The sequence below is a fragment of the Homo sapiens genome, chromosome 15 (assembly GCF_000001405.40).
Source record: "Homo sapiens chromosome 15, GRCh38.p14 Primary Assembly".
NCBI classification, from domain to species: domain Eukaryota; kingdom Metazoa; phylum Chordata; class Mammalia; order Primates; family Hominidae; genus Homo; species Homo sapiens.
Window position 1 is genome coordinate 84,758,219 of NC_000015.10, and position 12,418 is coordinate 84,770,636.

Below are 12,418 nucleotides of genomic sequence, written 5' to 3' on the forward strand. Positions count from 1 at the left end.
CGCCTCGGCCTCCCAAAGTGCTGGGATTACAGGCATGAGCCACAGCGCCCGGCCCCGTTAATCCTTTAAAAAAAATTTTTTTTTGAGACCGTCTCGCTCTGTTGTCTAGACTGTAGTGCAGTGGCGTGATCATGGCTTACTGCAGCTTTGACCAACCAGGCTTAGGTGATCCTCCCACCTCAGTCACCCAAGTAGCTGGGACTACAGGCGTGCACCACCACACCAACTAATTTTTTTGTATTTTTTTGTAGAGATGGGGTTTTGCCATGTTGCCCAGGCTGGTCTTGAACTCCTGAGCTAGGCAATCGGCCCCTCTTGGCATCCCAAAATGCTGGGCTTACAGGTGAGAGCCATGGCGCCTGGCCTATTATTCTTAATTAGCATGTGTACTTGTATTTAAAGTCTTGGGGAGGCCAGGTAAGGTGGCTCACACCTGTAATCCCAGCACTTTTGGGGGCTGAGGTGGGTGGATTGCTTGAGCCCAGGAGTTTGAGACTAGCCTAGGTAACATAGCAAAACCCCATCGCTACTGAAAATCCAAAAAAAAAAAAAAAAAAGCTGGGCATAGTGGCACAGACCCGTATTCAGTCCCAGCTACTTGGGAGGCTGAGGTGGGAGAATCACCCAAGGCTGGGAAGTCTAGGATGTAGTGAGCCGTGATTATGCCTCTGCACTCCAGTCTAGGTGACAGAGTGGGACTTTGTCTCTAACTAACTAAATAAGTAAAATTTTCTGGAACCTTTTTGCAACAGCATTCTACTCTTTTTTGCCAATTCAGTTACAGTAGATACCTACCTTAAAGCCTCTTCTTATGGTCTCCCTATGCCCTTTGCCTTGCTAAAGGAACAACCTCAAGATTTTAAATATAAGTAAACATTCTAATTAAGAACAGTATTCCACAGTTGCTTATAAAAGCAACTGTGGACCCAATCCAGAGTTGGTGCTCTGTAGAGCATAAAAGAATCATGTGAGATGAACTTCGCCCTCCAGGATTTCCCCCACTGAAAGCAATTAGAGAACAATTTGCTTTCAGACCAGAAGTGTCTTAAGGGGGCTTTTCTTTCTGAGGGTGGTGGTTATTGGCACACAGGTCACCCTCTGAGATGGCTGGGATTACCTCTAGGGAACATTCTCTAGTACCCAAAATGTACTGAATGGCCATTTGGGAGGAGAGAGGTGGTGGCCATGAAGTATTCTGATCTTTCATTACTTGTCTCCCCTTGACGCTGCTTCCTAAGTGCTGTGCCCTTTAGGAGAAGCTGGCCTCCTATCCACAAAGTATGAACCCCAGTGTCTGTCATTCCATCATTATAGCTCCATTCCTCTGAGTCTAAGGCTTTTGCATTTCCATCTTAGAGTCCTGTTTTAAATTATTTATACCCCCTGGGAGAGGTCATACTCTTTAGTACATCATCACCAAACAGTAGGTTTAATTACCAGGAATTAATTAAGTCAACTGAGAGAAAGACTGGGACCCAGGCAGGCACTTGGGGGCAAGAGTGTCTGAAGGGACACACTTCTGCATGGGAGGAGAGAAGTGAGGGCAGCAAAAGAAACATTCATTCATATCAGTTCCTGCAGTGAATGTTGTTGTACCACCTCATTGCTGACTCTGGGCCCACCTTGGTGGTCCTGCTGGCTGGGACATAGGGTACAGCGTGGGCTAGCCCTGCCTTGTACAGGGGTTTTGAGGCAGAGTTGGAATTTGAGCCAAGTCTTTAAGGATTGGGGAGATTCCCCCCCCCCCCACCCTGCCATTTAAAAAGTAATATGTGCTTAGTTTAGAAAATTTGGGAACAATCAGGAAGAAATTCTGGTAATTCTTCCTAATGATAGACAGTTGAGATGGATAGGCAGAGGGGAGTGATCCTTTTAAAATGTCAGTCTGATAGAATTTGAGGATAAGTGGTTAAAAAAAAAAAGAACCACCTACAACAAATAAAATATTGGTCTGAGCACATCATTCTTCTACTCCAAATCCTCCTGTACTCTTTCGTCTTAGAGTCAAAGTCAAAGACCTAGCAATGGCCTGCCATCATCTGCTTCCCAGCCATATCTCCTACTCCTTCTGCTTCAGGGCCTTTCTCTTCCTTCTTGTTCATCCCTCCGCCTAAAACCTCTTCTCCCCCATATTCTCATGGCTTGCTCTCTCACTTCAGAACTGAGAATATATTCACTCTTCTGATGTCATATGAGGAGCCCTGGTTGAGAAAGAGAATAAGTATGACTTTTATGAATCTGTCTCTGTATGTCTGTCTCCTTCCAGTGGATTATCAGCTCTACATGGGCAGGAATTTCATTTGTTCTGTTCACTGTGGTGTCCACTGTGGTATCCACAGTGACTAGAACAAGGCCTGGCACACAGTAATGGTGCTCAATATTATTGAATGAATGAAAGTACATGCGTGCATGTCTGCGGTGTGTGTGTGGTGTAGAGATAGGGTAGCAAAGGGCAGTGTAGCTAGCAGCTGGAGTAGGAGAGAAGGAGTGTGGTTGGGTGGAAGAGAGGAGGATGAAGAGGATGCTCTCAGTAGGAACGGAGTTCAGAGACATGGTCCAGTCTGTTCCAGTCTCTATACCCCATCTCTTACTGGTGCTGTTCAGCAGGGAGGCAGTGAGTTGGTGCTGCAAGACCAGTGAGGGGCAGCTGCTGAAAAACACAGTAGCCCTGGTCTTAGGCCTAGATTATGGAGGTTTTTGAAAGCCTGGCCCAGGGCTTGGACCTAATATGGTAGGCTACAGGAAGAAGTTTTTTTTTTTTTAGGACAGAGTTTCCCTCTTGTTGCCCAGATTGGGGTGCAATGGCACAATCTTGGCTCACTGCAACCTCCATCTCCCGGATTCAAGCAATTCTCTTGCCTCAGCCTCCTAAGTAGCTGAGATTACAGGCATGCGTCACCACACCTGGCTAATTTTTTTGTATTTTTAGTAGAGATGGGGTTTCGCCATGTTGGCCAGGCCAGTCTCAAACTCCTGACCTCAGGTGATCCACCCACCTTGGCCTCCCAAAGTGCTGAGATTACAGGCATGAACCACCATGCCCGGCCCAGGGAGTTTTTGAGCAGAGTAAGTGACCTGATAAAAATGGTGTTTGGGAAGGATTAGTCTTAAAGAAATTTGCAGGATGACCAAGTAGGGAAAGACCAGAGAGGGCAAGGAAAGAGCAAGGACCAGGGGGTCGGCAGACATGGGATGGAGCAGATGACATCAGTGAGACTTGGTAATGGCGGGATGCTCCCCAACTGCTGTGTGGCTGCCTTGACAAAGGCTTCCAGTGCTTCCAATGTGGTAGAGTTTAAAGTGTTGTCAGTGGTTTCAAGTGAGTTTTGGAAGCAGGTGGGGTGTAAGTAGGAGAAAGGAAAAGGAAGGGTCATCCTCAGGTTGCTGAAGGTGTTCATCAGGTTGAGGGGTCTGGGGGTAAGCAGGCAATAGTATCCCAGATGGCACCTTCACCTCACGGGCTGTAATCCCAGGAGAGGAGCCTGTCTGTTCTTTCTGGTCTGCTGAAAACTCTTCCTGTCTGAGTACAGCTGTCAGTGCTCTCAGGCTTTCTTCTGAATCTGCACATATGCTAAGATGATATCTGAAAGCCATTTGTTCCATCACCTTTCAAGTTCATTTTCTGTTTCCGTATGTTTATTTCTCAGAACAAATTGTCTTTGACGAACAAACCCATTGGATTGGATTAATTGTCTAGAAATACTTATTTCTGAAAGTATTTCTGAATGGTTTCTGTTTCATTAGGCTTCTATCCTGTTTTTGATAAGGGTTGTGCCAAGATGAGATCAGTGAAGAAGTGTTTTTGGTATAATCAACCAAACGGCTGCTTCTTTATGATCTTTTGGTATGAGTCATATTTTGAGATTTGTGTTCCTGATGTGTTCATTTAGAGTATATATGTGATGGTCTGCTATGTGCCAGGCACTATTCTAGGCACTGGGAATATAACAAGGAACAAAATAAACACAAATCTTACTCTTATAGGGCTCATTCTGGTTTGTATGCATTTATAGATAATAAGTAAGATAAAATATAAGAGATGGTGAAAAGTGTTATGGAGAAAAATGAAGCAGGCTTGGTGGATGAGGGGTTTGGTGGGGAGGAAGGTCTTCTATTTTAAATTGAGAAGTCAGAGAAATCTCATGGATTAAATGGCCTTTGAGCGGAGGTCTGAAGGAAGTGAGAGAGGGAGCCACGCAGATATCTGAGAAAAGAGCAATCAGATTGGAGAAAAGAGCAAGTGCAAAAGCCCTTCAGGCTGGGGAGGGTTTAAGGAACCCATGGGGGAAGGTACGGATTTTGGGGATCCTATGGTGGCTCCACCTCTGTAATTTCTGGTTTAATTGGTCTGAGCTGGGGTTAGGCATTAGGATCGCTCCAGGTCTAAGAAGCACTGGTCTGAGGGTTAAATAAGCCTTATCCCCTGTATTTGGTGGAGAGATTTGAAGGGTAACTGTGAGTAGGAGACTTCAGCTGCTCTGATGGGAAGGGCAAGCAAGGGCCCCCTGACCTTGCCAGGAATAACAGGAATCTTCCACAGTAATAAAAACTCTTCAGTTTATGTCCCTTTTCTTATTTGATTACCTCACCTCTCTGGGCCTCAGTTTCCTTGCTTGTAGAGTAAGTGGTTTAAATTTAATGGTTTTCTAGAATCTCTTTGGCTCCGATAGTCCTGAATCTTTCTAGTGTTGGAAGAAGCTCTAATCTAGAACAGTGTTCTAGAGCAATGTTGTCTAATCTTGGTCTTATAACACTCTAAGTTGTGTCATCATTATGGCAAGGGCTGTGGTGAATGTCTCAATACCAAATTGAAGGAAAATTTGTGCCCTATTCAGTAGCACCTTGGGAAGATGAGTGTGTTGGGAAACTTGAAATGTGAAAACTGACCTGCTGGTTTGGAGTCCAAAGTACAGGGGCAGCTTGGTCCTTGGGGGCAGGCAGGAGCCTGAGTGCCAGTCTTAGTTCACTCACTGGTGAGTTCCTTGTGCAGTGTGAAGAGTGTGTTATAAACTGTAAGATTCCTACACATCCAAGCATGCGTGTGTGATTAGGGTGACCTGGGAGAAGCAGCCAGCCTGGAAGTGAAGCCTGACACTCAGGTTTGTTAGCCATTCTGCATCCAAACTGCATGATTGCGCATGTGAGAGAGACTGTCTGGATAACCCAACAGAAACTGGTGGCCAGAGGAACCAAGGTTAATCTGGAGTAAATAACCTAGTATACTCATTGGAGCACCTCCCAATTTATTTACTATTGGACAGCAGACCTAAGACACCCCTTGGCCCCTGATCTCTAACTTTTGTCCTCATTTGGACAGCACAGTGTCTGCTTGTTAGTTTATGTTTTGAAATGTGAAAGCCCAAATAAGAAAAGGAAAAACTTCAGGAAAGTTTTCTCTAGTTTCTTTCTGTAGAATTGAGATAATTAGTTTCTTTCCCTTCCCTTCTACATTTTTACATTAATATTGTCTGTATTACTATTTAGAATCCAAACTAAATGTTGGTCTGTCAAAACTGGACAAAAATGAAGTCAAGCGAGGGAATGCAGGATTAGAGTGAGAATGGGCAGAACGAGAAATTCAGGGAATGAGTCCTTTTATTAGGTAACTTGTGGGTATATGTAGTTGATGGGCCGTTAACCAGTGTTTCTCAACGCTAGTCAATTAAATCTGAATCTTAGAGGGGTAGTGGCCAAGTATTAGTAGCTTCCAAAGTTCTCAAGGTGATTCTCATGTTTGGCTACAGTTAGGGATCACCTAGTTTTTAAAAAAGAGTTCTGCCGACTTTCCTCTTTTTGACCCTCATTCTCATCACCTGCTCTGTGCTGACCTCTTCCTACACTGCTATCTGCCCCCGCCATGATTTCTGCAGCTCACCTGCCCCCCTGGCCCCTGCTTGGCCCTCTGCTTCTTCAGCTTCAGCGGGCATCCCGAGCACTGGAGGAGGAGTTGTGTGGAGGGGTAAACTAAACCCGGCTTTACTTCCCTTGTCTTTCTGTCCTCTCTGCATGCAATTTCTGGGGCACTCTGAAAACTTAGGAGGGAAAGCTTGGTGGCCACTGAGGTTGGTGGCATAATGCTTAACAAACATGTATTTGCTATGTGAAAGACAGTGTTTTAAGAGCTTTATAAATATTAACTCATTTGATCCCTATAATAGCCCATTTTACATATGGGGAAACAGACAGAGATGAAGAATCTTCCCCCAGGTCTCAAGGCTAGTAAGTAGTAGAACTAGGATTTGAACCCGGATGGAGTCTGTGCTCTGAAGCACCAGCCTGTAATAGAGGGAGGGGAGCAGACGTGGAGCTGGGAAAAGTTTTGTCTTTGACTACATTTGTGGCCTGCTTGAATTTACATTTGGGGATTTTTCTCAGGGTCTTACTTACACTTGGATTATTATTATTAGTTTTTTTAAACTATCTTTCCTTACTCTAACACTTACCTTCAGACCCACTTAAAAAAAATTTTGTTTTTCTTCTTTCCTTAGGTGGTGTTTGGACTCTAGACCATGTGCCTAGGTAGAAGTTTTTCCTTTCTCCGCAGCTCTGCTCCCCTAGCAACGCTCGCCACACCCTTGTTTTGAGATCCTCTCTAAGGTATGATGTCTAGGCTGACCTGAACTGGCCTTGAAAAGCCAAGAGTTTGAACATGAGATTTTTTTGTTCCCTGGATTTTGTTTTGTTTTGTTTTGTTTTTTTTTGATGATAAAATACATATAACAAAAGTTACCATTTTTAAGTGTGCAGCTCAGTGGCATTAAATACATTCACAGTTGTACAAGCATCACCACTGTCCATCTCCAGAACCTGATATCATCTCATACTAAAACTCTGTACCTATTAAACAGTAACTCCCTCTCTCTCTCCTGCTAACCCCTGGCAACCAATTCTACTTCTTGTCTCTATGAATTTGCCTACTCTAGGGACCTCATGTAAGTGGAATCATTCAGTATTTGTCTGTTGTAGCATGTGTCAGAATTTCCTTCCTTTTTAAAGTTGAATGATATTCCATTGTGTGTATATACCACATTTTGTTTATCCTTTCATCTGTTGATAGATACTTGGGTTACTTCCACCTTTGAGTGTTATGAATAATCCTGCTATGAACATGGGTGTACAAGTATCTTGTGTCCTCCCGCTCTTAATTCTTTTGAGTATATACCCAGAAGTGGAATTGCTGGATCATATGGTAATTCTGTTTAATTTTTTAAGGAACTGCCAACTGCTTTCTATAGCAGCTGCACCATTTTACATTCCTACCAGCGATGCACAAGGAATCTGATTTCTCCACATCCTCACTAGCACTTGTTATTATTGTTTTTTTTTTTTTTTTTTTTTTGAGACAGAGTCTTGCTCTGTTGCCAGACTGGAGTGCAGTGATGTGATCTTGGCTCACTGAAACCTCCACCTCCCGGGTTCATGCCATTCTCCTGCCTCAGCCTCCTGAGTAGCTGGGACTACAGGTGCATGCCACCATGCCCAGCTAAATTTTATATTTTCAGTAGAGACGGGGTTTCACCATGTTGGCCAGGATGGTCTCCATCTCTTGACCTGTGATCTGCCTGCCTCGGCCTCCTAAAGTGTAGGGATTACAGGCATGAGCCACCGCACCCAGACTTGTTTTGTTTTTAAATAATAGCCATCCTGATGAGTGTGTGATTGGACCCATAAAGTCTACTAGCCAAGGGGTGGGTCCCTATTGTGTTGAAATGTACACATATAGAAAAAAAATATGATAAACCTCTGTGTACTCACTCAGATTCGGTAGTTATCAATTCATGGTCCTTTTTTTTTTTTTATGTTTTGTTTTTTTGAGACAGGGTCTCACTCTGTCACCCAAGCTGGAGTGCAGTGGTGTGATCAAGACTCACTGCAGCCTTTACCCCCTGGGTTCAAGCAGTCCTCCCACCTCAGCCTCCCGAGTAGCTGGGACTACAGCACACACCACCGTGCCTGGCTACATGGTCAATCTTGTTTCATTTATGTGTCCCCTCCTTGCTGTCTTCCTCTTGCCCTGTGTTATTTTGAGGCCAATTCCAAATGTCACATCATTTTATCTGTAAACATTTCACTATGTGAAGGCTCTTAATAGTCCATTTGTCTAATCATAGGAAGGCACATAGGGACATGTTAGGTTATCATTCCCTTGGATCACCAGGGACATACAATAGGCACATACAGAACACCTGGATATTGGATCCGTTGCCATGCTGGATTGTTGGTGAAAGGCTGCTTTGGCTGGGGCCCTACTTTCTTGCTGAAGGCTGGCTTCCCTCAGGTCTGAGCAGTCATGGTGAAAGAGCACACCCAGATCTCTGTTGAGAGGGGAAGGAGAGAAGAGGGAGGAAGAGAGGCATGAGGGAGAGAGCAGGAGCTGGAGAGTTGGGGGGCGGATAGAGAGACAGAGAGAGAGAGGACAGGGGAAGAGAAGAGAGGGAGAGAAAGTGTACCGTGGAGGAAGGAATAGAGGGAGAGAGGATGAGAAAGAGTGTGTGTGTGTGTGTGTGTGTGTGTGTGTGTGTAAGAAAAGGGGAATAAGAACAGAACACTTGGGAGAGAAACTTTACCAGCCCTTTGACTCACCAGCTCGTAAACTCCTGTGGTGATCTAAGGCAACCATAGGGATGCCTCTAAGAGTAATAGCATGCTCCTCGTGTCCCTCCAGACCTGTCAGTTTAGGAAGCTTTGGAACTGTAGGTTGTCTGTGGTAGATAAGACTGGTGGCACCCTCAAAACCACCAAAGAAAGAGTGATCCTGTGAAATGGCCACTTTCTGTTTTCTTTTTGTTTTTCCGAGATGGAGTCTCATTCCGTAGCCCAAGCTGGAATGCAGTGGCGTGATCTCGGCTCACTACAGCCTTCGCCTCTGGGGCTCAAGTGATTCTTCTGCCTCAGCCTCCCAAGTAGCTGGGACTAGAGGCGTACACCACCACACCCGGTTAATTTTTTTGTATTTTTAGTAATTTTTTTGTATTTTTGTAGAGATTTTTTGTATTTTTAGTTTCACCATGTTGCCTGGGTGGTCTCGAACTCCTGAGCTCAGGCGATCCGCCCGCCTCGGCCTCCGAAAGTGCTGGAATTACAGATGTGAGCCACCGTACCCGGCCAACACTGTTTTCTAGGGTCCTTTGCGTCGGAAGTTGAGGCTTGGTTCCCAGCAGGTCTGAGGCTGCTGGCTTCTTGCTTAAATTTAGGGGTCCCCACTACCAAGAGATGATGCATTTACAAAGTTTACTGGGAGGAACACACCAGGATGGTGTGTGAACAAGAGGAGTCCTGTCCCCCTTTTTCTCAAATCTCTGGGTCCTGTTTCCTTCTAACAAAGTGTGGTGCTAGGTTATTGCTGAGATCTGTTTGCAAAGAAGGAAAGGTAAAGGGGGTACGGGTTACAAAGTATCAGTTTGTATCTAAATTGTCAGCTCTGTGTAAACTGTGCTTGCTGCCTATGCCTAGTTTCTGCTTGTCCCAGTCAGTTTTATTGTCTTGTATAATCCCAGCTCCCTCCAGTTCTGTCTTTTTCTATCTTTTAAAAAATATAGCAGCTTTATTGAGATATAATTCACATGCCATACAATTTACCCATTTAAAGTGCACAATTCAATGGTATTTCAGTTTGTTCACGGACTTGTATTTTCTTTTTTTTTATTTGTTTCTTTTCTTTTCTTTTCTTTTTTTTGAGACAGGGTTTTGCTGTGTCACCTACCCTGGAGTGCAATGGTGCAATCACAGCTCACTGCAGCCTCAACCTCCCAGGCTCAAGCAATCCTCCCACCTCAGCCTTTTGAGTAGCTGGGACTACAGACATGTGCCACCACGCCCAGCTAATTTTAATTTTAATTTTAATTTTTTTTTTTTGTAGAGATGGGGTTTTGCCATGTTGCCCAGCTGGTATTGAACTCCTGGCCTCAAATGATCTACCTGCCTTGGCCTCACGCTTGGGATTACAGCCACGAGCCATAGTGCCTAGCCAGTATCTTCTTATCTTCTTTCCTTTTCTTTCTTTCTTTCTTTCTTTTTTTTTTTTTTTTTTTTGAGACAGTTGTGCTCTGTCGCCCAGGCTGGAGACTGGAGTGCAGTGGCGCGATCCCAGCTCACTACAACCTCTGCCTCCTGGGTTCAAGCGATTCTCCTGCCTTAGCCTCCCAAGTAGCTAGGATTACAGGTGTGCACCACCACACCTGGCTAATTTTTGTATTTTTAGTAGAGACAAGGTTTCATCATGTGGACCAGGCTGGTCTTGAACTCCTGACCTCAAGTCATCCACCTGTCTCAGCTTCCCAAAGTGCTGGGATTACAGGCATGAGCCACCGTGCCCAGCCTTTTGTGTCTTTTTTTCTTAAGACTCATTCCCACCCTGTACCTACCTCTTCCCTATGGTTCTCAGAGCTAGCCTTTTCTTTCCTCTGGTGTCACACTGATCCCATCCTCAAAACAAATGACCTTATGGGACATCGGCCAATAGGCACCCCCCACTGATAAAATATTTAATTTAATCAGCCATTACAGGGATCCAGGATTCATAGACAAGGGTACTTTAGGTAGACCCCTTCCCACTGGCGAGGTCCCATAACCACTGAAGGTCTCTCTAAAATTTTAAAAAGTGAAACAAAAATTTGCATATTTGCAAAATGTTTGATTCATAATAAGCCCACTTGGGAATCTGTGATTATCTTGAACAATCTTAATTCTGGACAAATGAGCTTGTCAAATTGTTCTTCCTCCTTTCTTTTATTTTTTTTTGAGACATGGTGTCCATCTGTTGCCCAGACTGGAGTGCAATAGCACGATCGTGGCTCACTGCAACCTCCACTTCCTGAGTTCAAGCAATTCTCCTGCCTCAGCCTCCTGAGTAGCTGGGATTACAGGTGTCCACCACCATGCCTGGCTAATTTTTGTATTTTTAGTAGAGACAGGGTTTCACCATGTTGGTGAGGCTGGTCTTGAACTCCTGACCTCAGGTGATCAGCCCACCTCTGCCTCCCAAAGTGCTGGAATTATAGGCATGAGCCACTGTGCCTGGCCTGTTCCTTCTTTCTAATGGTGGATTACCTTCCTGTAAACACACTGGAATTTACAGAAAGACAAGAAGGTAATGAACAATTACATAATATATGCTAGGTGGTGATAAGTGCTGGGAAGAAAATAAAGCAGTGTAAAGGGATAAAGATTGATGGTTGGGTTGGGGATTGGTGTCTCATGTAGAACGGTCATGGAAGGCTCCTGACAAAGTGACATTGGATTAAAGGCCTGAAGAAGTGAGGAAGTGAGCCCACCGAGATCTGGTGGGAGAATGTTTCAAGCAGAGGGAGTGGTGACTGCAGAGGCTCAGAATGGAGCATGACCAGCATGCCTGAGGAACGTAAGGAGGCCTTTGTGTGCCTGGACAGACTGGGTGAGAGAGAGGCATAGGAGATGGGGGCAGTGAGATCATCCCGGCTGTGGAGGCTGTGGGAAAGATGGGATTTCACTCTGAGGGAGATGGGATGGTGTTGAAGGGTTTTGAAGAGAGTAGGGACATGATGTGATGTGTGCTTTAAGATTTTTAAATTATCTTATTATTTTTTGAGATGGGGTCTCACTGTGTTGCCTAGGCTGGAGTGCAGTGGCTATCCTCAGGTGCATTCCTGGCTCACTGCAGCCTCAAATTCCTGGGCTCAAGTGATCCTCCTACCTCAGCCTCCTGAGTAGCTGGTACTACAGGCATGGGCCACTGTGCCCAGTGGCAACGTATGTTTCAAAAGCAATACTCTGGCTGCTGTGTTGGGAATGACTAGTAGAGGCAAGGGTGGAAGCAAGAAGATCAGTTGGCAGGCTTTTGTGGGAACACAGGAGAGAGATGATGGTAGAGGTGGTGAGAAATGGCTGGACTTGAATATATTTTGAAGGTTGAGTTGACAGGATGTGCTTGTGGATTGGATGAAGGGTGTGAAAGAAAGAGAGGTTTAGGCCTAAGCAGCTGGAAGAATGGCATTGTCATTTACTGAAATGCGGAAGGCTGTAGGAGGAAATCAAGAGCTAGATTTTAGACATAGTAGATCTGAGGTGCCTATTAGATATCCAAGTAGAGATCCAAATCTAGAAATAACAATAATTTAGTGAATGTCTACTGAGGGGCTTATAAAATAGCAGGAAAGAGAACACTTTACTGAAATGTTCAGTAAACTACAGTACAGGTAGAAAATTATGATGTGAGGAAGAATAAATAAAGCAAAAGGGAGCAAAAGGGAGAGTGAGGTGACTTCTGTAGGAATTCTGTGCCCTTGATGAGCCTCAGTGGTGCCCACAGATGTTTCCAGTGGATTATGTATGTGTAGGTGCTCAAGAGCAGGGTCTGGGCCTTCAGCTTTGTGCCCTCAGTGCCAGTCATAAGTCTTAGCATTTGGTGACTGTTCCCCTCTCTGAGCCTCAGTTCTCCATG

At 44.8% G+C, this 12,418-nt stretch overlaps 1 protein-coding gene across 4 annotated transcripts in view, besides 3 other annotated features; it reads left to right on the top strand.

Moving 5' to 3' along the window:
- Positions 1-12,418, top strand: part of ZNF592 (zinc finger protein 592) — a 57,854-nt gene that overhangs the window by 9,627 nt on the left and 35,809 nt on the right. For all 4 annotated transcript variants that reach the window (NM_014630.3, XM_005254996.4, XM_011522246.3 and 1 more), the window contains exon 2: positions 6,489-6,597. The gene's annotated coding sequence lies outside the window, so the exon portion shown is untranslated. The remainder of the gene's footprint in view (positions 1-6,488; positions 6,598-12,418) is intronic.
- Positions 2,396-2,897: an enhancer, noted in NCBI's record as "H3K27ac hESC enhancer chr15:85303845-85304346 (GRCh37/hg19 assembly coordinates)". NCBI's record gives its function as "activates a minimal SCP1, AML or CMV promoter by ChIP-STARR-seq in primed H9 embryonic stem cells {active_cell/tissue: H9 hESC(primed)}" and the evidence as "EXISTENCE:reporter gene assay evidence [ECO:0000049][PMID:30033119]".
- Positions 7,870-8,371: an enhancer, noted in NCBI's record as "H3K27ac hESC enhancer chr15:85309319-85309820 (GRCh37/hg19 assembly coordinates)". NCBI's record gives its function as "activates a minimal SCP1, AML or CMV promoter by ChIP-STARR-seq in primed H9 embryonic stem cells {active_cell/tissue: H9 hESC(primed)}" and the evidence as "EXISTENCE:reporter gene assay evidence [ECO:0000049][PMID:30033119]".
- Positions 8,372-8,871: an enhancer, noted in NCBI's record as "H3K27ac hESC enhancer chr15:85309821-85310320 (GRCh37/hg19 assembly coordinates)". NCBI's record gives its function as "activates a minimal SCP1, AML or CMV promoter by ChIP-STARR-seq in primed H9 embryonic stem cells {active_cell/tissue: H9 hESC(primed)}" and the evidence as "EXISTENCE:reporter gene assay evidence [ECO:0000049][PMID:30033119]".